Here is a 26852-nt window from a genome sequence, read left to right on the forward strand (position 1 = left end):
ATTAGACAGTTGAAGAAAACTGAAGATTGGAAACTGAAAAGTCAATCCCAAATGAAGATGGGAAATATAAAAGGGAGATTAAGAGATACGGAAGATGGAATGGAGACTCGAGGAAAGAATGAGAGGCAATATTTAAAGACATAATGGCTGCAAGTTTCTCGGAGATGAAAAATATCCAAGCAGTACAATATTTCCCAAACAGGATAAATATAAATGTATGCGTAGAACCATTGTGAAATGGCAAATCACCAAAGACAGCATTTTGAAACTATCCAGAGAAAAGGGACTAAATGTCTATAAAGGAAAGACACCAGCTCACCTCTCAATTGCAACAATGCACGTAGTGGAATATTACCTTCAGAGTGTTGGGGAAAAAAAGGTTAACCTAGAATTACATAAAAATAAAATAATTTTCGTAAGAATTAGGGCATATAATATGTTTTAAAAGGGGAATGCTTGCTGCTTTAATGGACGTTCTGAATAATGTGCTTGAAGTAAAAAAATGATCCCAGAAGGGTAACACAAGATAAAAAAAGGTTTGTGATAAGTAAAATGGCAAACACCTAGGTAAATCTAAATAAACCAAAGAGATAAAAGAAGGAATTACTGGATTTTGAATTTTTTTGTTTTTTCTAAGCACAAATTCTAGATAGCAGTAGCAGGAAAGTCAGGATAGTGAACACCAGAGCTACAGTATTGTGTAGTCTTTTTATTGTTGGAATGTTAAGGTATTGATTAACTTTAGATTTTAGGTTCACTGTGAAATGCCAAGGCTATTCACTATAGTGACTATAAATTCTAAACCAAAAGACAAGATGGTAGAAATTAATCCAAAGCACAATTAATGTAAATGGAGCAAACTCACTAGCTAAAAGCAGGATTTATAAGATTAGATTTTAAAAAGAAATCTGGTGGTATGATGTTTGCAAAAAGATACATCTGAAATAGAAGTATATGGAGAAGCTGAAAGTAAAAATATGAGGAAAAATATGTGATGCAAAATCCACTCAAGCTAAAGCTCTGGTAGCTTCACCTAATATCAAAGTAGATTTTAGACACACCATGAAAACCTAAATGTCAACAAGAGGAGAGAGAGTTTCTGTTTCATATCCACCTGTACACATAGCCTGAAGGTAACTTTATAAAATATTTTAAATAATTTTCTATATGAAACAAACTTTGTGTACATTGAACCTTCAGAAGGCAAAGGTGTCATTGTCACAGCCACTCTTGTAGACAGTTTGTGGTTGTTTAACATCATTGTCGTTCCTGACTTTGAATTTATGCGCTGTCAATAAGCAATCATTGTTTTGTGTTCATTTACACATAAATACTTAACAGTAAAAAATTCAACATACCATCAATACAGTGAAAAAACGTGTTCAGGATAACCATGCGGCACAAGTAGCATCACCAGAATACCTGGATCATCTGTTAACAGCAACAACAAACAATGGCAGGCTTTCAGTCTCCATTTTCGATGCTGGCTTTTTTTTCTTGAGACAGGGTCACCCAGGCTGGAGTGCAATGGTGCAATTAGAGCTCACTGCAGCCTTGACTTGCCAGGCTCAAGTGATTCTTCCACCTCAGCCTCCTGAGTAGCTGCGACTACAGACGTGCCACAACTGGTCTTGAACTCCTGGGCTCAAGTGATCCTCCCACCTTAACCTCCCAAAGTGCTGAGATTGCAGGTGTGAGCCACTGTGCCAAGCCCTGTGTATTCATTAAAAGGTTACGGCGGGCAGGGCACAGTGGCTGAAACCTGTAATCCCAGCACTTTGGGAGGCTGAGGCGGGCAGATCACCTGAGGTCAGGAGTTCGAGACCAGCCTGATCAATATGGAGAAACCCTGTCTCTACTAAAAATAAAAAATTGGCCAGGCATGGTGACGCATGCCTTTAATCCTAGCTACTCAGGAGACTGAAGCAGGAGAATCACTTGAACCTGGGAGGCGGAGGTTGCAATGAGCCGAGATTATGCTGTTGGCACTCCAGCCTGGGCAACAAGAGCGAAACTCCACCTGCACAAAAAAAGGTTAGTGTGGCCAGGCACGGTGGCTCATGCCTGTAATCCCAACACTTTGGGAGGCCAAGGCGGGTGGATGGCTTGAGGTCAGGAGTTCAAGACTAGCCTGACCAACATGGCGAAACCTTGTTTCTACTAAAAAAATTAGCTGGGCACGGTGGTGTATGCCTGTAATCCCAGCTACTGGGGAGGCTGAGGCAGGAGAATCACTTGAACCTGGGAGGCAGAGGTTGTAAAGAGCTGAGATCATACCACTGCACTCTAGTCTGGGTGACAAAGCGAGACTTCATCTCAAAAAAAGGTTACTGTACATTGTTTTTGTTTTGTTTTGTTTTGTTTTGTTTTTCAGTTGAAAAGAAACATCAAAAGCAGTTGAGAGGCCAGGAAGCAGGAAGTGAGTTCTCTAGGGATGAGGAGACAATCTGCTGGATGGCTTCAAATGGTTTTTCTAGTGGCATTTGTCTCATAACAATGGTTGTCTTAGAAGTCTCTCTTTGATTTTATAAACATTTTATTTCCCAATTCATTTTATGAAATCAGTATCTAGATAAAATAGATAAGAAAAGTACATTACTAGCAAATTTAATTTGGTATTGATGCAAAATAATAAAGTATTATCAAATCAGGTTCAGTGATGTTTGAAAAAGACATCAAATTGGGTTTATCCCAGGAATGCAAGGATGGCTTAAAATGATAAAGTCTGTACTTGCCATACTAACAGATTGAAGGAGAAAAAGTAAGGAAAAGCTAATCTCATATTTGATTTTAAAAAAAAAGGGTGGGGGGGGTTGAATTTCTTTAGCCTGATAAATTTTTTTTATATTTTTTAAAACCAAAAAACTAAAACCAATGACATTTCATATGAGGAAACATTGGAAGCATCCCCTTTAAAATTGGGAATAGGACTAGGATACCTGTCATTACTACTTTTCAATATTGTACTTTGCTACTCTATGTGGCATAAGGATTCAAAGGGGGGAATAAACTGGCTACTATTTGCAGATGATATGATTGCCTACCTAGAAAACTCAAAAGACTGCAATTTGCTAGCAATAATGGTTTAACCAAGATACTGGATTTAAGGTGAAGACAAAAAAGTTGATGGTATGTTGATAACACTGTCAAACAATTAGAGGGCATAATATTCAAAAAACAACTTTTACAATGGTAACAAACTGAGTTACTTAAAAATAAATACAACAAAAGACATACAAGACCTGTAAGAAAAACCTTACTGGGAGACATTAAAGAAGACCTAAGTAAACATAGACATACCCATTTTATGATGTGATGTCAGTTTTCCTCAAATTGGTCTGTAGATTCTGTGTAACCCCAATCAGAATCCCAATACTTTTTGGGGAACTTTACAAGCTCACTTTAAAGTTCACATAGAAGAGCAAAGGATTAAGAATAGGAAATTCCTAAAGAAGAAAGGAGAATTTGCCCTACTAGATACCAAGACTTAAAAAGATATGGCAATTATTGTAGTAATTCTATTATGTAACTGTATTAATTAGATAAAATTATGTAGCTATAAATATCAACATATAAGACTTAAAAGGTGTAGTATTGGTGCATATTAGAAATAGGACAAAACAGTCAAGGAGCAGGCCCACATGAATCTGGAATTTTAACATGTAGAAGAGACATAATCAGTGGAGGAAGAAGTAAGTGTTATATAAATAGAGTTAGGAAAATTATTCATGTGGAAATGTAAAAAGAAATTGAATTCCCGTGTCACACCATACATAAACATCTCAGATTAAACAGGAAGTGTCAAAATCATTGAGGATATGTTACAAGAAAGCACTAAAATGCAAGAAAGACTGGTATATCCAACTATAATAAAATTAGGAACTTCTGTTTATTAAAAGACATCATAAAGTTAAAAGATAAGGCACAAACTGGGCTGGACACGGTGGTTCACGCCTGTAATCCCAGCACTTTGGGAGGCTGAGGTGGGTGGATCACGAGGTCAGGTGTTCAAGACCAGCCTGGCCAAGACGGTGAAACCCTGTCTCTACTGAAAATAGAAAAATTAGCTGGGCATGGTGGCACACGCCTGTAATCTCAGCTACTTGGGAGGCTGAGGCAGAGAATTGCTTGAACCTGGGAGGCGGAGGTTGCAGTGAGCCAAGATCGTGCCACTGCACTCCAGACTGGGCAACAGAGCAAGACTCATCTCAAAAAAAAAAAAAAAAAAAAAAAAACACCTAGAACCAGAAATACCATTTGACCCAGCAATACCATTACTGGGTATATATCCAAAGGGATATAAATAATTCTGTTATAAAAATACATGAACGTGTATGTTCATTGCAGCACTATTCAAAATAGCACAGACATGGAATCAACCCAAATGCCCATCAATGATAGACTGGACAAAGAAAATGTACATATATACATGAAATTTTGTGTAGCCATAAAAAGGAATGAGATCATGCCTTTTGCAGGGACATGGATGGAGCTGAAAGCCATCATCCTCAGCAAACCGAACACCACGTTTTCACTCATAGGTGAGAGCTGAACAGTGAGAACACATGGACACAGGGAGGGGAACACACTGGGGCCTGTCAGTAGGAGGTGGAGGTGCTGGAGGAGGGAGAGGATCAGAAAAAAATAGTTAATACATGCTGGGCTTAATACTTAGGTAATGGGTTGATAGGTGTGGCAAACCACCATGGCACAAGTTTACCTATTTAACAAACCTGCACATCCTGCACATGAACCCCAGGACTTAAAAAAAAAAAATGCCCAACCACAACAGTAATCAGAGAACTACAAATCAAGACCACACTGAGATACAATTTCGCACCCATTCAAATTGGCAAAATTTAAAATTTTGGTATCAAGTGATGGAGTCCAACAATGAGTTCCCTTGAAATTGCTGTGGAGAGTGTAAAGAAGTAACTACTTTGGAAAAACAATTTGGTACTATAAAGTTTGAACATATGCATACTTTGGTACCCAGCATTTGACTTGTATTAAAAAGAAACTGTTATACATGTTCACCAAGTGTCATGAACAAGAATGTTCATAGCACTGTTTGTAGTAGCAAAAACTGGGAACAACCTAAATTCCCATCAGTGGGAGATAATGGCTTAATAAAATATGACATATTTACACCATGAAATATAGATCAATGAAAATTAACTGCAGCTATAGGGAACAATAGAAAAGAACAAAATATGTGAAAAAAGCTAATCACAGAAAACTACATACAACATGATATTCTTTTTCAAAGTCTATTACCAAACAAATATAATAAAACTTTGTTAAGTAAGGGAATGTTAAACAAAAGACAGTGGTTATTTGATGGGAAGGCAGAAGAATGAGATCCGGCGAAGTGCATTGTTGGATTAAAGTTATTGGTAGTAGGTGAAGCCTCAAGTTTGGTGATTTCATTGGTCTTCCCTTTTTCAGCTTTCATTCCCAAACTCGTCCTTGTAATCACTCTCTTCCATATATCTCAGCTCCCTGCTCCACTCTTATTTCTTTGTACAACTCTGTTGAAACCTCAAGCCCAACCTCTTTTATTTATTTATTGAGATGGAGTCTCGCTTTTGTCGCCTAGGTTCGAGCGCAGTGGGGTGATCTTGGCTCACTGCAACCTCCGCCTCCCGGGTTCAAGTGATTCTCCTGCCTCAGCCTCCCAAGTAACTGGGATTACAGGCGCCTGCCACTATGCCTAGCCAATTTTTGTATTTTTATTAGAGATGGGGTTTCACCATGTTGACCAGCCTGGTCTTGAACTCCTGACCTCAGGTGCTGTGCCCACCTCAGCCTCCCAAAGTGCTGGGATTACAGGCTTGAGCCACTGTGCCCAGCCCAACCTCTTTTAAATCCATCTTTGCATCCAAACAACCATGCTAACTCTTCTCACTATTTTGAACTAAGTATTTACTAAACTTCCCTGTGTAGTTGCTCTCAAACTTCAGCGCGTATTAGAATCACTCAGAGGACTTGTTAAAACACATGAGCCTCACCCCTAATTTCTGATTTGGTAGATGAGGCCTAAGAATTTACATTTCTGGTACATTTCCAGGAGATGCTGATGCCTCTGGTTAGTCGTAAAACAAGTCTCCATAAATTAAAAGGACTAAAGTTTTTGTTATTGTTGTTGTTTGTTTGTTTTTTGAGACGGAGTCTCACTCTGTTGCCCAGGCTGGAGTGCAGTGGCGCAATCTCGGCTCACTGCAACCTCCGCCTCCCAGGTTCAAGCGATTCTTCTGTCTCAGCCTCCCGAGTAGCTGGGGCTACAGGCGCACGCCACCACACCCGGCTAATTTTTGTATTTTTATTAGAGATTGGGTTTCACCATATTTGCCAGGCTGGTCTCACACTCCCGACCTCAGGTGATCCGCCCACCTTGGCCTCCCAAAGTGTTGGGATTACAGGCATGAGCCACGTGCCTGGCCCCTAAAGTGTTTTTTAAAATCATTTTGATATTCATATCTAAAATTCAAACCGTTTCGTATGTTCATGTGGAAACTGTATACTTATAGTACCTGCCTTTGTTGCTAAATTAATAAAAATGGCAAGAATGTGGATTTCAGCATATTGATTATTAAAAGTCATAAGGAAGCAAGGCTATTCCATATATTCCGTATATTAAGGAAATACCGTATATTTTCCTTAATACCGTATATTAAGGAAAAGTCCATTTCCAGGAAATACATAAGCTTTTTCTTATTACCTATACATATATATAATCTGCTTTATAAATATAGTCACATCTTATGCTTGCTCAAATCAGCAAGACAGTTAAAATTATAGAAATAGTAATCAGGCCGGATGTGGTGGCTCATGCCTGCAATCCCAGCACTTTGGGAGGCCGAGGCAGGCAGATCATTTGAGGTCAGGAGTTGGAGACCAGGCTGGCCAACATGGCAAAACCGCCTTATTTTTAAAAATACAAAAATTAGCCGGGGATGGTGGTGCGCACCTGTTATCCCAGCTACTCAAGAGGCTGAGGCAGGAGAATGGCTTGAACCCGGGAGGCGGAGGTTGAAGTGAGCCGAAATCGCGCCACTGCACTCCAGCCTGGGTGACAGAATGAGACTCGGTCAAATAAATAAATAAATAAATAAACAAATAAATATAGTAATCAGCTCTAAAATAACACCTTGTGATGCTGTTGTCAATACCAATACCAATACCAAAAGAGATCACACAAAAAATATACAGTAACGCTTCCTTAATTCAACATCATTTGGAGTAGTTCACCTTGTGTGAATTTGCATATAACTAAAGTTTTAGTCTTATGCAATAAAACTCATTTAGAAATTAAGTAAAGCAAAAAATTCATATAATTGTAGTTCTTGAAATTCTTTAACTTACCCATAAAATGCAGTCTACTTTGACTTCTTAGTAGAAAGTTTGAAATTTAAAAACTCATTCTCACAATGTGTTACCAACAATAGGCATGCATTTGCCATTATTTCCAACCATAAATTCAATATATTTTTTTGTAACTTTAAGTGGTAGAATCATTTAGCACAGTGAATGTACACACTACAAAAGACATGAAAAAATTGAGAGCAGCTGAGGGACAGTAAACTCAGCTCCCTTGTCATGTTCATTCTGAAAGGTAAGATTTGTTAAGAGATGTTTAGTACGTAAGAGGCTAGACTGGTTGTACCATTTAAATTATTTTTCTTTCTCTCTTGTGTGCATACGCATGACAAGTAGCTGTAGTTGCGTTTGTGTAAATTAAATATCTGCTTGGTATTGTCAAGATTATGTAATTTTTTGGAGTAATCTGCAAAACACCCCTCCTCCCTTTAAGTAATCAGCACTGTGTCTCTCCCAGGTGTGAACATATGTAACCAGAGAGCCAGAAAACCAGGATATCGAGATCACCTTGGCACCAGGCTTTCCTAATGCACTTTTTTCTTTCTTTCTTTCTTTTTTTTTTTTGTTTTGAGATGGAGTCTTACTCTGTCACCCAGGCTAGAGTGCAGTGGCGTGATCTCAGCTTACTGCAACCTCTGCCTCCCAGGCTCAAGTGATTCTCCTGCCTCAGCCTCCCGAGTAGCTGTGATTACAAGCGCCCACAACCACACCCAGCTAATTTTTGTATTTTTAGTAGAGACGGGGGTTTCACCATGTTGGCCAGGCTGGTCTCAAACTCCTTACCTCAAGTGATCCACCCACCTTGGCCTCCCAAAGTGCTGGGATTACAGACATGAGCCTCTGTGCCCGGCCTCCTAATGCACTTCAAGTGTTCCTACTCTTGCTGACTTTTTAGACTTTGCCTATTTTTGCCTTTCTACTAATATCTACTTTACTCATTGCTTCTCATCCCATATTAATCAGGTCACTGAACTGAAGTCACTGCCTGCTTGTAGTATTAATGAATTTTTCACCCTTTAGAAGTAAATATAAATAGTGGCCAGATGCAGTGGGCAGGCCTGTAATCCCAGCACTTTGGCAGGCCAAGGCAGGAGGATTGCTTGAGCTCAGGAGTTTGAGACCAGCCTGGACAACATAGCAAGACCTCGACTCTATTAAAAAATAAGAAATGCTGGGTGTGGTGGCTCACACATATAATCCCAGCACTTTGGGAGGCTGAGGTGGGTGGCTCACCTGAGGTCAGGAGTTCAAGACCAGCCTGGCCAACATAATGAAACCCTGTCTCTACTAAAAATACAAAAATTAGCTGGGCTTGGAGGCATGTGCCTGTAATCCCAGCTACTCGGGAGGCTGAGGCAGAGAATTGCTTGAACCTGGGAGGCGGAGGTTGCAGTGAACCAAGATCGTGCCACTGCACTCCAGCCTGGGCAACAGAGCGAGACTCCTCTGTCTCAAAAAAAAAAAATTAGCTGGGCATGGTGGTGTGCACTTGTAGGCCCAGCTACTCAGAGGCTGAGATGGGAAGATCACTTGAGCCCAGGAGGTCAAGGCTGCAGTAAGCAAGTTTTCACCACTGCGCTCCAGCCTGGGCAACAGAGGGAGACCGTGTCTCAAAAAAAAAAAAAAAAAAAGCAATTAAATACTAATATCTTATAATTAAGTAGTCTCATGTATATCATCTCATTTAATCCTCAAGAGTACTCCTGTGAAATGAGTAGAGTGCAGTTGTCCTGGCTCACATGGCTGCTAAATGGCAGAGCCAAGACCAATCTCTTGCCTGGTGCTCTTTCTGCTACACTGCAAACCTTTTTAAAAATTGACTTTAAATTAGACCAGTCAACTTCCAAAAACATCAGATGAAAATAGATAAAAATTACAACTTTTTTTCAGGAATACTACATCGGTGGTATGGCATACTTCTTATTGCATCACATAAGTAGATATGTAATGTCAAATGTCTGTTATTTAAGTTCAATCACGTGGTTAAGGTGGATCACCAGAACTCTCTTTGTAAAGATATATTTTTCCTTTGTAACTAGTAAGCAATTTGAGATAATACTTGAGATTATTTATTCTATTTCCCAAAAACCTTCCTTTCAGTGGTTTTATCCTTCCAATTATCTTCATCTGAATAAATCATTACATTGGGAGTTGCAAAATAATTTTCTAACTCTAGTATTCCTTCTGTATTGATTAGCAGCCATTCTTAGCTTGTTCTCTCTTAAGCTTTTGCCTTTTCTCCCCTCAGTTTTTCTTTGCTTTTGTGGTTGGTATTGTTGTGTATTACTGTGAATGCATGGATTTTTAAATGTATTATACTTTTTTCTTGGATGCTTAGATGATCCCAAACTTTGACCCCATTGGTCTTTGAGTACCGCCTTGCTTTCTTAAACTACAAGATGTTCCAGGTGCACTTTATACAGTTCCAAGCAAACCTGGAGTTTTGTGAATTCAGTGAAGACTTCTTGGAGGTCTTGGTATTTAGACTGGCACTTGAATAGAACCTTTGTAATTTCCTGAATGATCATGGAGTCTGAAAGCTCCTAAATCCCTTGGAATTTTCTGGGTGATGGGAGCATCTTTTGTCCTAATAAGATGATTCTTGGCAGGCTGCTGAATAGCCTCAGATGAGGGCAGGCTGCCTAGGGAACCAACCATGTGATTTGAGGGGTTAGTCCCACCTCCCCACCAACGTCCAGAGGTGCTGAAAGTTGATACCAACAGCCAGTGATGTAATCCATCTTGCCTCCATAATGAAGCCTCCATAAAATCCCAAAAGGAGAGGCTTCAGAGAGCTTGCAGGCAGCTGAGCATGTGGAGATTCCAGGAGGGAGGTGTGCCTGGAGAGGCCATCAGTGCCCTTCCCACATATTTGATCTATGCATCTATGTGTCTGTTCAACTGTATCTTTTGTAATATCCTTTATAATAAGCTGTTAAATGTGTTTCTGAGTCACATGAGCTGCCCTAGCTCAATAATGGAACCCAAAGAGGGGCTGGTGAGAGCCCCAACTTTTTGCCAAAGATATAGGTGACAACCTACTACTTGCAATTGGTGTCTGAAGTTGGGGGGGAGTTCTTGTGGGAATGAACCCCTAACCTGTGGGATCTGATGCATGTATCTCCAGGTAAACAGTGGCAGAATTGAATTATAGGACACGAAGCTGGTGTCTCCAGGAGAATTGCTAAGTTTGTGTGGGGAAATACCCCCACATTAGCGTCAGAAAAGTTGTTTAGTGGTGTGTGGGTAGAGGGAAAAAGAGGTTTTTTCCTCTCAGAGTTCCTCCTCTTTGACCAAGTGCTAGCTTGAGCCTCCTGAAATGCCAGTTTAAATATTGCCCCAGAAATGCCAGTGAGGATTACGAATAGAAGTTTATGCTTATGAAAGATGCTGGGGCCTCTGTGGCCTAGAGATCAGCTGAATGGGGCTCTTGTAGTGATGCCTTACAATCTTGAGATTCTGATGAAGGGTGTGTGTGTGTGTGTGTGTGTGTGTGTGTGTGTGTGTGTATCTGGGAAGGGAAGAATGAAGAGGTGTTCAGGGGATCAGAAGATCTTTCAATAGCTCCACGAGTGGCAGATGAGATTAAAACTCCAGCAACAGGAAAAGTCAGGGCCACTGACAATTGGAAATATTGGCATGAGGCACAGAGGCCTCTTGGCTGGATTAGGACCATATGGGTAATAGGCTGACCCCCTCAGCTGTTCATCTTGATAATTAAAGTAAATCTTGCACCTGTGAAACAAAATTAGCTCAGAAACCAAACACAACCATTGGTAAAGTACATTTGTTGCTTTGAACACAAATGCTTACTATCAAGAGGCATCTAGTTTAAGCAGCATTTAAGTTTGGAGGAAAGGCTAAACAATTTCTGGCTATTAACTCTTTGTCACCTGGGCTGATTTAAAGGTAATTCAAAAACTCTCAAAAGGTCTCAATAAGCCAGATAGAAGTTTTGCCTTTAAGTATTCTCTTTAGTAACTGAATGGAATTCTATTTGAAGGGTACAACTAAAGTTGGTCCTCAGGCAACCTCCTGTGAGGTGAGCTTCAATGGTATGGTTCAGTGGAAAGAACACCAGATTGAGTGACTGAAACCTCAGTCCGTCTCATCTCTGCTGCTACTAAGAGAACTTGCGCAGATCTTCTCACTTCTCTACACTGCTCTGATATACCAAATGGGGAGATTGGACCACAGCACTGAAGCTAAGATTTCATGAAACGTATAATCAAATCCTTGAACTCTCAGAGTAATAGCAGAGGTTATCAATGAAAGTGGCTTCCAGTGAATGTTTCAAATACCCAAATGGAAGGAACCAAATTCATGAATACTTCAACTGTTTAAAAATGCTAACATGTGGCTAACATGAGCAAGGTGGCTCAAGTCTGTAATCCCAGCACTTTGGGAGGCCAAGGCGGGCGCATCACCTGAGGTCAGGAGTTCGAGACCAGCCCGACCAACATGGTGAAACCCCGTCTCTACCAAAAATACAAAAATTAGCTGGCTGTGGTGGCATGCACCTGTAATCCCAGCTACTCAGGAGGCTGAGGCAGGAGAATGGCTTGAACCTCGGAGGCGGAGGTTGCAGTAAGCCGAGATCGTGCTACTGCCTCCAGCCTGGCTGACAAGAGACTCCGTCTCAAAAAAAAAAAAATGCTAACATGCACAAAGTGGATCCACGTTATCTTCATAGAAACTATGTTGCATAGCTCAGTAATATTACTTACTTGTAAAATGTAGGCCCCAGAAGAAGCTGGCTTCAAGATCTAAGTATGCTCATCTCTCAATAAGGTGGGTGTTCACTTTTATATAGGATTTTTCGCAACTCAAGAGATCAGTCACGTTGAATCACTAATTTACAATGTATTGTTTTCAAAGTATGTCAAATTCTTTTCACTCTAAGTAGGGCCTGGCCATAATTTTCAAAATGTCTACGTATTAGTAATTTTGCCACAATAAGTAAGATTTAGTTGTGAATGAACACTCCACATCTTCAGTGAATTTTAGTAGAAAATCATCCAACTAAAACCTCCATAAAGATGGAACAGTCTTCAAAGAAATAGACAAATAAGGACTAGGGCCTGCTCAGGTGAAGAACGCTTGAGGGGCCTGAGCCCCAAACAGAATTGCTGCGGAGCCCTGCGCTTCTTTGCTGAAAGCGAAAATATTCCAGTAGTCAGATTTAATGACTTCCCAAAAGGGTTATTAACAACGGATCCAATTCCAACCACTTCTACCCCTTTTGAGAACACTCAAGCATGTGAAGCCAGGGATGGAAGGAAAAAACAGGTCACAGTGCTACTAGTTACCCTTCGAATAGACATTTTTCTTTATTTCAGTATCTGGAATTAAGCTGATTTAACCATACGGGTGGCTTACGGAGGATTTATAACTAGCATTTTAATTCCTTTAGTTTCAAGAAATGCCTACAATGCAAGCCTCATTCTCAAAACAAACAAAAAAACAATCCAAACATACCCTCTGACTCCAGATTAATCTTCAAAATCAATTCTCCTGATCCAAACTTTACAAATGTATAGACAGCAAAAAAACAAAACAAAACAAAACAAAAAAGACCATGTTGTTGACACAAGTAGTAAGGGCTAGATTTTTCTTTTCCCTTTATCTGAATTTTTCTAGCTACCTAATAAATGCATCTTTTTAACCAGAAAATCGAACAGACTAAACAAGTCATATTAAATCTTAATCAGTTATGCTGAAAAAAATGTGGGCCAGGCACGGTAGCTCATGCCTGTAATTCCAGTGTTTTGGGAGGCTTAAGTGGGAGGATTACTTGAGGCCAGGAGTTTCAGACCAGCCTGAGCAACATACTGAGACATGTCTCTACAAAAAAAGAAAAAATTAGCTGGGTATGGTGTCCTGAACCTGTAGTTTTAGCTACTTGGGAAGCTGAGGAGGATCAGTTCACCCCGAGTTTGAGGTTACAGTGAGGTATGATCATGCCACTGCACTCCAGCTTGGCTGACAAAGTGAGAATCTTTCTCTTAAAATAAGCACAGCAAGAAGCTGAAATGAAAAAAAAAAAAAAAAAAGTACTGGGAGGCTGAGGCAGGAGAATCACTTGAACCCGAGAGGCAGAGGTTGCAGTGAGCCAAGATCCTGTCACTGCACTCCTGCCTGGGCTACAGAGTGAAACCCCGTCTCAAAAAAAAAAAGAAAAGAAAAGAAAAGAAAAAAGCCACCAAAATACTCGTTATTTCCGGGTGACTTATGTATTTTCCTAATTTTCTGTAATCTGTAGGTACTGACCTTTACTAAGTGCAAAAATAACCTTTGATAACTGCAGTGGTCACTGAATGGGGAACTTTGTGGCTAGTCACTAGAACCTGGGGAACACTAGAAAGCACCCCTGCTCCTTAGTCCGTATGTGGAGATGTGTGATGCTAGAGATCAAAGATGCCGTCCAGAAGGGAGATAGACTGAAGCTTCCTTCTTCCTAGGTCTCACGCTGGGTGGGACAGGTTCTCCCTGACTGGATTATTTTTCCGGTGTTCTCCCCTAGCTCTGAGCAATACTGGGTGAGTGTCCTATGTTTTGTTCAAGGGAAAAATACCACTTGTCTTCATGGTGCCAATACTTATCCCTGCTCCATGGTCAGCAGAATGGCAGTGGAGGTCTGCTCTTGGGAAAGTCCCTCTATGAACCAGTCTGACCCTGCCCACCAGGCCACAACAGGAGATTGTCTTTCTAGTCTAGTGCTAACCTCTTTTCAGATGTTTCAGAACTGTGACACCTGTTTCCAGAGCAGTGAACAGTGGTGATGTCTAGTATGAATTCAAGTCCCCTGTAAAAACTACCTGATCAAAGAGCAAAATGTTGCTGGTCTTCTCTTATAGTGAGTAGAAGTCAAATGACCCTAAATCATTGTTCCTTAAAGAGTCATAGGCAAAACATCTAACACATCACAATCACGTAAAGGATGCTAGTTAAAAACAACTACTGGACAATCCCAGGCCCAGTAATCTTCATTTAAAGTGCTCTTTAGGCCAGATGGGGGCTCACGCCTCTAATCCCAGCACTGTGGGAGGCCAAGGCAGGTGGATCACTTGAGGTCAGGAGTTCTAAACCAGCCTGGCCAACATGGCGAAACCCTGTCTCTACTAAAAATACAAAAAAAATTAGCTGGGCCTAGTAGTGGGCACCTGTAATCCTAGCTACTCAGGAGGCTGAGGCAGGAGAATCGCTTGAACCCTGGAGGTGGGGCAGAGGTTGCAGTGAGCTGAGATTGTGCCACTGGACTCCAGCCTAGGCAACAGAGCAAGACTCTGTATCAAAAAATAATAGATAATAAATAAATGAAATGCTCTTTAGTCTATGAGTACACCAGTAAGCCTAACAAAGAAGAAAAAAGAACCAGGGATATGCAGATTCTATAACATAAGATTTTAACACCCAAAAATTAAAATCTGTTGTTCTACTGCTGCTTTTATCAGCATCATATTCTCTGCTCAATAAGCTCACTAAGAAAATCACATACTTAGAACATTTTAATGTCTCTCAAGCTGGTGCCTTTCAAGGCCCAAGCTCATCACTTCTTGTTTAATAATATACATAATAAATCTCACATACACATCCTTTCAAACTGGAAACTATGATGTTGATGTTAACAATGGTTCTCAAAAGCTTTTGCTCTTTCCATAAATTTATTAAAATAAAAAACTATGTATATATAAGTAATGGAAATAAAGTCTATCAGCTTTATTAGCTGCAATGATTTGCATTATTTGTAATTATGTATCATAAGTTACATGTAACATATAACAAAAACTTGAGTTTTGAAAAATGTTTTATTCAAGAATTACATAATTTCAAATATCTTCCAAAATACAGTTTCCTAGATTGCTACAAAAGAAATTTGATAAGAAATTTAAATCATTAAATATGTTTCACTAGTATATACATACAGAATGCCAAGCAATAGTATTCAGCCCTGGAATGCGTACCATGTCTTTTGTTTTTCCTCATGAAAGGCTCAACCCAGCATTTTGTATAGGCTATGTACAACAGGCAAAGTTTTGTATTCAAGAATTTGACGTTAGCTGCCTCAATTTATAGCTGTGGTAGTTTGTCCACTGGGGTGTCAAATTTGAAGTCTGTAGGAAACAGATCTGGGGCTCGAGGATAGATCAGTCTATAGGACTGTCTGATTGTAACATCAGCAACACCAGCAATATCTCCAATTTCTAAAAGACAAAAATCGAAACATTAACCATCATTTCCATCCTACCTCCTTTCCACTACCTGCATTGTAATTTGTGAGATATGATAGTATAAAGTGCCAAACTTAAAAACAAAACCAGAAGTGATTTCTAAAAACTGATAATAGAAATACATACTAAAAGGTAGAAAGCGGGAGCTAGGCCGGGCGCAGTGGCTCATGCCTGTAATCCCAGCACTTTGGGAGGCCGAGGCGGGTGGATCACCAGGTCAGGAGATCGAGACCATCCTGGCCAACATGGTGAAACCCCATCTCTACTAAAAATACAAAAAATTAGCCAGGCGTGGTGGCATGCGCCTGTAGTCCCAGCTACTCAGGAGGCTGAGGCAGGAGAATCGCTTGAACCCAGGAGGAGGAGGTTGCAGTGAGCCGAGATCGCACCACTGCACTCCAGCCTGGCGAGAGAGCAAGATTCCATCTCTAAATAAATTAATAAATGATGTTTAAAAATCCATTTTAATAAAGCATTCATAATACTTAACCAAATACTGTCTCAAAAAAAAAGTGGGAGCTAAAGTCAGTAACAAGCAACAATAAAAATGATTACTAGTACTTACTACCTTACAGGGTTGTCAATGTTTTAAAGGGTTTAACTAACATAAAATATATGAATAGTGTTCAGGTCTTAGTATTAGGAGTGTTATCATCTTATACTGGGTATTGTATTTACAACTGACTCCTCCTTTTTCTTTATAAATCTTTCTGAGGATCACAAAAGTACTCCACAAATATGTTCTTGTAAAGAAATTCACTTTATATTTCTGTGTTTGAAAGCTCCCATGCAAAATCTCCCCTAGCTAACTTCTGTTAAGGGGTCCTTATTAAAAACAAAATGTGATACTATAAATATTGTTCTACAATCTTTTTTTCTACTTAATACATCAGAGATCAAACAGCTACTTATTATAGCATACGGAGATGTTTTTCACTGATACAAGCACATACTTAAATATTTTGAGCTCAAACGAACATTGTACAGAATCCTAACAGATCCACTTTTACCCTTTAAAGTCGCTGTCCCTTTTTTCCTTTCAAAGTCATTAAAAGAAATACTAAAGGACTGCCACTACAATGTTTGGTTAAGTATTATGAATGCTTTATTAAAATGGATTTTTAAGCATCATTTATTTATTTATTTAGAGATGGAATCTTGCTCTGTCACCCAGGCTGGAGTGCAATGGCAAGATCTCGGCTCACTACAACCTCTGCCTCCCCGGTTCAAGCAATTCTCCTGCCTCAGCCTCCTGAGTAGCTGAGGCACCTGCCACCATGCCCAGCTAATTTTTGTATTTTTAGCAGAGGCAGGGTTTCACCATGCTGCCCAGGCTGGTCTCAAACTCCTCACCTAAGGTGATCCACCTGCCTCAGCCTCCCAAAATGCTGGGATTACAGTCATGAGCCACCACGCCTGGCCTAAACACCTTTTAATACAAATTCATTTTACTACCTTTTCAGTTGATTCAAATCAGTGAGGTTTTAGTGATTTTCACTGTGAATGCCTGCCATCATTGTACAATTAGCTAATTTTAAATTTCCGTATCTCACACTGCATTACATTATTCTACATCTAAATACCAATAAATGCCAACTATTTGAATGTCAACTGCCTGCTGTGCAGGGAAGAGAAAGACCTTACATTTGAAGAAGACTTTACATATAAAGCCAAAAAGCAGAAAGCAACAAGATTAATGTTTTCATGTTGTTCATTAGAATAAACTTTACAACTAGGAATGTACCTCAAGGACAAACTGCCTAGCTGCAACTTCTCAATTTTACTAAAAGACTCAAAATTTCCTTAAAACGTGAGTGAAGGCCAAAGGGAATGGATAATGGCTCCTTCAAATAACTAATGATTGGCTTTCTTTCTCTAATTATTCCTATCATTTATTACTTTTTTCAACATATAGCCTAAGCTGAAGGCTGTTGTGAATAAAGTATTACAAAGTTATTGAGGCCAGTAATTCACTTTCTGTTTTTGTTTTTTTTTTTTTTTTTTGAGACAGTCCTGTCTCCCAGACTGGAGTACAGTGGTGCAATCTAGGCTCACCGCAACCTCTGCCTCCCAAGTTCAAGAGATTCTTGTCTCTTAGCCTCCCGAGTAGCTGGGACTACAGGTGTGCACCACCATGCTGGGCTGATTTTTGTATTTTTAGTAGAGATGGGGTTTTGCCATGTTGGCCAGGCTGGTCTTGAACTGCTGGCCTCAAGCAATCCACTCACCTTGGCCTCCCAAAGTGCTGGGATTACACAGGTGAGCCACCGCGACCTGCCACCAACTTTTCTTTTTTTTGAAAAAGAGCCTCACTCCATCAACCCAGGCTGGAGGGCAGTGGCATGATCTCAGCTCACTACAACCTCTGCCTCCTAGGTTCAAGTGATTCTCCTACTTCAGCCTCCCTACTAAATGGGATTCAGATATGTGCCACCACACCCGACTAATTTTTTTGTGTTTTTAGTAGAGACAGGGTTTTGCCATGTTGGCCAGGAGGCTGGTCACCGCACCTAGTTTATGAATTTCTTTACATGCATTTGTTCATGAATAACTTCTGTAATCCTCAAAGACTTAGAAAGGAGTAGTCACTTCTAACTTTAAAAGGGAGTTAGTGGGCCATGTGTGGTGGCTTGTGCCTATAATCCCAGCACACTGGGAGGTGGAGGCAGGCGAATCACATGAGGCCAGGAGTTCGAGACAAGCCTGCCCAACATGGTGAAACCCCATCTCTACTAAAAATACAAATATTAGCTGGGCGTGGTGGCACGTGGCTGTAGTCCCAGTTACTCAGGAAGCTGAGGCATGAGAATAGCTTGTCCGGGAGGTGGAGGTTGCAGTAAGCTGAGATTGTGCCACTGTACCTCCAGCCTGCGCAACAGAGGGAGACTGTTTCAAAAACAAAAAAAAAAAAAAAAAACAAAAAAAAAAAAGGAAAAGAAATTCACTTAATACTTCTGGTGAAAGTTTTCCTACAACACTAAATTTAAACATAGCTTTAGAAGGCTGAATTACTTACATCTACTTATTTCAGAATTTGTATTAAGAAACTGTAAAATACTGTGCAAAATGGGAAAAAACCAACCTTCACAGAATGTTAAAGGCTGATGGCCAACACGTATTTTACAGTGTGTCTATCTGTAGAATCCCATGCCAAGCAGTGAGAAACAAAGCATGGCCTCCCTGACCCCTAAGATTTAAAAAGGTAAGTTTGGAAAGGAAAAGAGTATTCAAAATGATCAGGAGGAATATATTCAGGGAGAAAAAAGAACTTGTAAGAATAAAAGATGTACAAACTAAAATAATTCAAATGGGAAAAAAATTAGGTTTGTTCACAGGGTTATGTCTCTGAACATTTTTTTTATGAGCTGCTTAAAAAGCAAAACATATTTTCTTAACATTTTGACGTTGAGGAATGATGTCTTAAACGTGGGTTTTTTTTTTTTTTTGAGATGGAGTCTTGCTCTGTTGCCCAGGCTGGAGTGCAATGGCACAATCTCAGCTTGCTGTAACCTCCACCTCCCAGGTTCAAGCAATTCTCCTGCCTCAGCCTCCTGAATAGCTGGGATTACAAGCCCCACCACCACACCCAGCTAATTTTTGTATTTTTAGTAGAGATGGGGTTTCACCATGTTGATCAGGCTGGTCTCGAACTCCTGACCTTAGGTGATCCTCCCGCCTCGGCCTTCCAAAGTGCTGAGATTATAGGTGTGAGCCCCCGCGCCTGGTCAAATGTGGGTTTCTTGCTATTTACCCGGTTCAGACTTAAAATGGAAAAACAATCACATGCTGCAAATTTCAGTTTACTGCCACACTTCCTGATGACGAACCCTACCTTTTTGGGTCCTCTTTTCAGCTGATGCCTGTGAGGCCATGTAAATAGCTGCCGCTGCCACAGAGATGGGGCTCCTCCCAGGAACCAAGTCCAGTTCCACAGCTTTACGGGCTATATGTGTAGCTGCCATCTGTACTTGTTTAGGAAGACAAAGGTTGGAACAGAACCTGGACATGAAGTCCCCAGTTGTAATCAAATCCACACTGGTTTCTAGCGCTTTCAAAATAAGTTTAAAACACCGACCAATTTCTTTCTTAGAAATTCGTGATACGGCACATATTTCTAAAAGAAAAAAAATTAAATAAATCAATTCACTTAAGCCATATAGTTCATCTTAAAATCTACCATTTCTAATTATAAACATAATATACATTCTAATTGTAAAACATTCAATCATACCTTAAAGATGAAACCCTAATCATCTCAGTGATACTTCCCACAGAGTTAACTGCAAATTTCTCAGTTAACTTTAATGTTCATCACACCTTTTTTTTTGAGATGAAGTCTCACTCTGTCGCCCAGACTAAGGGTAGTGGCATGATCTCAGCTCACTGCAACCTCCACCTCCTAGGCTCAAGTGATTCTCCTGCCTCAGCCTCCCGAGTAGCTGGGACTACAGGCGTGCACCACCACACCTGGCTAACTTTTGTATTTTTAGTAGAGATGGGGTTTCACCATGTTGGCCAGGCCTGTCTAGAACTCCTGACCTCAGGTGATCCTCCTACCTCGGCCTCCCAAAGTGCTGAGATTACAGGCATGAGCCACTGCGCCTGGCCTAATGTTCTTCACTCTTTCAATTTAGAGTTTTTTTGTTTTTTGAGATGAAATTTCACTCTGTCGTCCAGACTGGAGTGCAGTGACACCATCTTGGCTCACTGCAACCTCTGCCCCCTGGGTTCAAGCGATTCTCCTGCCACCCGAGTAGTTGGGATTACAGGCGCCTGCCACCACACCCGGCTAATTTTTTGTATTTTTAGTAGAGATGGGGTTTCACCATCTTGGCCAGGCTGGTCTTGAACTCCTGACCTCGTGATCTACCTGCCTCGGCCTCACAAAGTGCTGAGATTACCGGTGTGAGCCATCGTGCCTGGCTAAATTTAGGTCTTAATCTTTCAAAATATTAACTGCTCTAAGGATTAATTCATACAACTAAATTTCTTTAAATGAAAAATTCTTTGATGTTTATGTATTAATCTGTTGTAAGCAGTGTTACCAAGGAATTGAAAGAAAATACTCAAGCTAAAGGATGCCTCTTAGGCAACACAATGTCATGTGTGCATGAAATCCCTGCGATTATGGGCTGTAGCTCAATGAGATAAAATATCTGACCCTGCTATTCCCAGATGCAACCACCACACACTTTCAGAAGAAATTTAACAAAAGTTGTTTTAGTTATAAAAACAACAAAAAAGATGATGATAAAGGCCATCACCTCTTCACTTTTACGTAAGAAAACATAAAAAATAAATACTCACTGGATGAATAAAGGGTTAAGTATAGTCTTCAGCTAAACTGAGCTTTGGTAGTGGAAGTCAGTGAGCAACACTGAACAAATTATCACATATTCACATGTAACTGCAAACTAAATGAAAAATACCAGTTCTTAACTGAAGTGTAAAAGTGCAAACAATACACCTCAAGAGAAAAAACTTAACTGATAACTTTTTTTTTTTTTTTTTTGAGATGAAGTCTCACTCTGTCGCCCAGGCTGGAGTGTAGTGGCGTGATCTCGGCTCACTGCAACCTCTGCCTCCCGGTTTCAAGCGATTCTTCTGCCTCAGCCTCCTGAGTAGCTGGGACTACAGGCGCGCACCACCACGCCTGGCTAATTTTTGTATTTTTAGTAGAGACGGGGTTTCACCATATTGGCCAGGCTGGTCTTGAACTCCTGGCCTCATGACCCAACCACCTCGGCCTCCCAAAGTTCTGGGATTACAGGTGTGAGACACCATACCTGGCCTTCACTGATACTTTCTAAAGCTTGACTCCCTCATCTACAGAGACCAGTGCTAGAAATGGAAACTGTTTCCATGTAAACCAAATGTATAAACGGCCTACTTTGGTTTACGATTATAGGCCTTCTGAAAGCCCACAAAGCAACAGTCCATCAAAAGATCTCACTAGAAAAGAACATAGTGGGCTTACGTGGACTAAAATGAGTCTACATGGGAAAACAGCCTAAAAGAACATGCTATGAATTTGCTGTCAAGGAATGAAATAAGTAGGCATTGGCAAATGATGCTCAAGTGGATTACTGTAGTCACAATAAAGATGACTTAGCTTCTAAGTGTCAAAGCTGCCTGACATTGGTCTGTTTCTTTAATATGATGTAGAAAATGTTATTTTAGGATGGGCACAGTGCCTCACGCCTGTTAATTCTAGCACTTTGGGAGGCCAAAGTGGGCAGATCACCTGAGGTCAGAAGTTTGAGACCAGCCTGGCCAACATGGCGAAACCCTGTCTCTACTAAAAATACAAAAGTTAACCAGGTGTGGTGGCACATGCCTGTAATCCCAGCTACTCAGGAGGCTGAGGCAGGAGTATAGCTTGAACCTGGGAGGCAGAGGTTGCAGTGAGTCAAGATTGCGCCACTGCACTCTGGCCTGGGCGACAAAGTGAGACCCTATCTCAAACAAACAAACAAACAAACACAAAAAAACAAAGCTAAAAACTTACCTTTAAATGTCCTAGGAACCCCTTCTTGTCTACAGGCAATATAGAGACAAGCAGAAGCTATAGCATCATTAGCTCTTCCCTTCAGGCTCTTCTGTTCATATACTTGCTTGAATAAATTATTTGTTCGATCCTTCAAAGCAGAGAAACTAAGTTTAACTCTACGTCATTTAATTAGCTGCAATATCAAAATTTCATGTGTTCATTAAATTATGCAAAGTCAATGCCAGAATGGCTTAAAGGAGGTAGACAAGAACTTACAACTATATTTCGAGGTAGATTGATTCTGTCTGCCATGGTAGTGATTTCTTTGAATGCATTCATCATTGCCCGATCAGAACTGCTCATTGTTCTCCGATTCTGGTACTTAGAATTGCCAAATTCGTCAAAACTTGCAGCTCCTGTGCCCTATAAAACAGTTTTATAACTATGAAAAAATTTTTTGGAAAGCATGAAAAATGGACAATTTCTATGAAAATATAGCTTACAAGATCTGATTCTACATAGACCAGAAATCTGAATTGTGCATCCTGCTCATCTATACTAAATGAACATGTAATTCTAACAACTGTTCAAGAACATAGAAAATAGGAAGCTTAAAGTGTATAAATAGAAATATGATACAAACACCTGACAAAACAATGGAAAAAGAAACAGTCTAATTTCACTTAGAAATATGATAAAAAATATTAAATACTAGAAAACAGAATCCAACAGCATATTAAAAGGTAGTATATCATGACCAACTAGAGATTGTTCCACAAGATATTAGAGAATCAAATAATGTAAAACATTATATTAATAGATGTAAGAAGAAAAATCATGATCATCTCCAAAGACGCTAAAAAGGCAAATGAACAAAATCAAAATTCGTCTTTGATAAAAACTCATAGGACGCTACAAATGAGTACTTCTTTACATTAGAAAACCACTCTCCTCTGCCCAAAGAAAGTACTATGATTAATGGAGAAACATTACCAGCATTATCACCAAAATCACAAGACAAAGGTACCTCCTACTGCTACCATTTTGTAACACTGATTGGAAAAACTAGCCAATAGTATTAAGCAAGAGAAAAACCGGAAGTACAAAATTGGAAAGGATGTGATAAACTATTTGCAGATAGTACCTTTATACACCTGGAATATGCAAGAAAATCACTAAAAAACAGCTGCTATAAATAATTCATTAAAGCAGCAAGGTCAAGATAAATAGAAATCAATACCCTTCATAAGTACAATCAACCAACTTAAAAGACAAGGAAAGCAAATTTTTCAATTAAAACAACAACAAAAATCTTGAAATAAACTTGAGAAACATGTGAGACGTTCATGAAGAAAACTTTCAAACATCTCCTGAAGGACACATAAGATACCTAAGGAAATGGAAAGGCATTATGAATTTTTGAATACAAGATTTATTATGAAGAAGCCAATTTTCCCTGTGTCAATTTGCAAATGAATCTGACCAAAACCCCAGTGAGAATATTAAATATTAAAAAACAGGCCAGGCGCAGTGGCCCATGCCTGTAATCCTGGCACTTTAGGAGGCTGAGGCAGGCGGATCACCTGAGGTCGGGAGTGTGAGACCAGCCTGATGATCACGGAGAAACCCTACCTCTACTAAAAGTACAAAATTAGCCAGGCGTGGTGGCACATGCCTGCAATCCCAGCTGCTTGGGAGGCTGAGGCGGGAGAATCGCTTGAACCTGGGAGGCGGAGGTTGCAGTGAGCAGAGATCGTGCCATTGCACTCCAGCCTGGGTGACAAGCGCGAAACTCTGTCTCAAACAAAACAAAACAAAACAGGCCGAGTGTGATGGCACACGCCTGTGGTCTCAGCTACTCAGGAGGCTGAGGCAGGAGGGTTACCTAAGCCTGGGAGTTTGAGGCTGCAGTTAGCTATGATTACATCACTTCACTCTAGACTGGGTGACAGAAAGAGACCCTGTCTCAAAAGAAGAAAACCAAAAAACCCCACAGGAAACAGAATCCAACAGGGTATTAAAAGGCAGTAATATCAACCAAGTGGAGACTGTTCCACAAATATATTAAAGAATCTAATAACATAAAACATCATATTAATAGAGCTGAAGAGGAAAATCATTTAATCAACTCCAAAGGTACAAAAAATGCAAGTGAACAAACCTAAATTTTTTTAAAAAATGAAACAAACTTAACCTTTAAATGGAAAAGACTAGCGAAGAAAATGCTGAAAAAGAGCAATGAGGGAAAACTAGTGCTACTAAATACTAAAACAGTGTTGTATGGCATTTGACTAACTGGACCAGGACAGGAAAAGATAGAAAGTTGAGAAATATGCCCAAGTACACATAGAAATTTATTATGTGATAAATCTAGCAGCTTAAAAATATTTCTATCTTGCCCAGGGATGGTGGATCACACCTGTAATTCCAGCACCTTGGGAGGCCGAGGTGGGTGGATCACTTGAGCCCAAGAATTGGGACAAGCCTGGGCAACATGGCGAAACTTTGTCTCTACAAAAAATACAAAAATTAGCCATGTGTCGTGGCCCACACCTGTGGTCCCAGTTACTTGGGAGGCTGAAGTGGAAGGATCGCTTCAGCCTGGGAGGTGGAGGTTGCAGTGAGACGAGATCAAGCTACTGCTGCACTCCCACCTTAGCGACAGTGTTAGAACGTCTCAAAAACAAAACAGACTATACAGGGTTCGGCATGGTAAACTCATGCCTGTAATCCCAGCACTTTGGGTGCCTGAGGCGGGAGGACTGCTGAAGACCAGGAGTTCAAGACCTGCCTGGACAAGAGTGTCACTCTGTTGCCCAGGCTGGAGTGCAGTCGCGCGATCTCAGCTCACTGCAACCTCCGCCTCCCGGGTTCAAGCAATTATTTGCCTCAGGCTCCTGAGTAGCTGGGATTACAGGTGCCCACCATCATATCATGCCCAGCTACTTTTTGTATTTTTAGTAGAGACGGGGTTTCGCCATCTTGGCCAGGCTGGTCTTGAACTCCTGATCTCCACCCACCTCGGCCTCCCAAAGTGCTGGGATTACAGGCATGAGCCACTGTGCCCAGCCAGACAGATTTTAAACAAGACTTTTTTGGAAAAAAAAAAAAAAGAGACTATGCAATAGTATACATGAAGTTATAAAATGGTGTATACTTCCTTGATTAGCCCTCAGTAATACCGTCACTATTACTTCCAACTCGGATAACAGAGTGAGAATCAGGCTGCCAAGAAAACTATACTATTGCCTTACACAATGATAGCAGCTACCACTGACTGAGCACACAGTATACAATACATGTTATATAAATACTTTACATACATTCTCATGAAACCCTCAAAAACTCTATAAGTACTCTTATTCTCATTTTACAGATAAGGAATGTAAAGTTAGGTAAGTCATAAATTCACTAATATCAGAAAAGAGGTTACACTAACCTCCCATTTATCTTAAGTGGTATAGAGAGAAAAGAGAAGACATTCTTTTCTTTTTTTTTGAGACAGAGTCTCACTCTGTTGCCCAGGCTGGAGTTCAGTGGCGCGATCTTGGCTCACTGCAACCTCCGCCTCCTGGGTTCAAGCAATTCTTCTGCCTCAGCCTCGCGAGTAAGCTGGGACTACAGGTGCCCGCCACCAAGCCTGGCTAATTTTTCTATTTTCCTTTTTTTTTGTAGTAGAGATGGGGTTTCACCATATTTGCCAGGCTGGTCCCGAACTCCTGACCTTGTGATCCGCCTGCCTTGGCCTCCCAAAGTGCTGGGATCACAGGTGTGAGCCATGATGCCCAGCTGAGAAGACATTCTTGATATTCAAAGAACATATCAATATTAACTCATGAAGGCCACACTACACTCATTTTTTGTGTGTACAGAAAATGTCATTTATGAAAAAAGGCCTGATATAAAGGCTTTATAATTTTGATTTAATGGTCTTCCCCACTTTAAGATGGAATACACACACAAGTTAGCCATCATTCACAATGATATTACTGGCAAATCTTATTAGACAGGTCAAGATTCCCCACTGGTGCAGTGACTGATACTTTTGCAAAGTTCCCAAACTCTCAGGTCTATGGTCACTCTGCAATTGGTATTTCCTGCCAAATGGACTTATTACCTTGCCAATCATGGTAGACAAATCTCCATCACTCAGAAGAGGATTCTGAGAATCTCCAACTCGAGATGGATCTTTTGTTGCTTTGTCATTGCTGAAAGTTCGCCATTCAGATCCCACATCAATAACCCGGTCACCTAAGAATATAAGCACATATCTGAATCATTTTGTCAAGATAGGGTTTACTTAACTACACTGTCCAATGCCCAACTAAGCCATTTTATTCCCAGGAAATCTCAACATGGACATCTAGGACCAAGCTTAAATATCACATTTCAGACATTTGTCCTAAAGCATTCCTTTAACTATTGTGCCAATCTAACAATAATCCTCTTGAAACATTATGCTATGATATTCTAACTCTTGGAAGAAAAAGTATTAGTCAAAAGTAGCAAAGTACAGCTATTCATATGTGATGCAAAGGTAAACCAATGTAATAATGATTAAGAACCAGATTTTGCACAAAATTTGCAATAGGCATGGGAAAAAAAGAGAAAACATTTTTTAGAATGGTATTAATGCAAATAATTTCATATTAAAATGTCACTAAGTTTGCGTGGGAAATGCTTCGCAGAAAATAAGCCTAAGCTTCTGTTTCAAAGTAACAATCTGATGAAAAACATACCTGGCCAAATAA

At 40.2% G+C, this 26852-nt stretch overlaps 1 protein-coding gene across 2 annotated transcripts in view; it reads right to left on the reverse strand.

The window, feature by feature from the left end:
• Positions 1-14870: 14870 nt before the first annotated feature.
• GTF2B (general transcription factor IIB) overlaps positions 14871-26852 on the reverse strand; it is a 38935-nt gene continuing 26953 nt past the window's right edge. Inside the window, exons 3-7 of one of the 2 annotated variants that reach the window (NM_001514.6) lie at positions 26219-26352; positions 22378-22524; positions 22120-22249; positions 19444-19725; positions 14871-15584 (exon numbers count right to left, since the gene is read on the reverse strand). In NM_001514.6, the coding sequence (NP_001505.1) occupies positions 15451-15584; positions 19444-19725; positions 22120-22249; positions 22378-22524; positions 26219-26352 (827 nt within the window). In that variant the 3' untranslated portion in view covers positions 14871-15450. Of the gene's footprint in view, positions 15585-19443; positions 19726-20918; positions 21026-22119; positions 22250-22377; positions 22525-26218; positions 26353-26852 lie in introns of those variants that run through there. The other variant, XR_007059241.1, reaches the window with a different exon arrangement.

Source organism: Homo sapiens, chromosome 1 (genome assembly GCF_000001405.40).
Source record: "Homo sapiens chromosome 1, GRCh38.p14 Primary Assembly".
Taxonomy (NCBI): domain Eukaryota; kingdom Metazoa; phylum Chordata; class Mammalia; order Primates; family Hominidae; genus Homo; species Homo sapiens.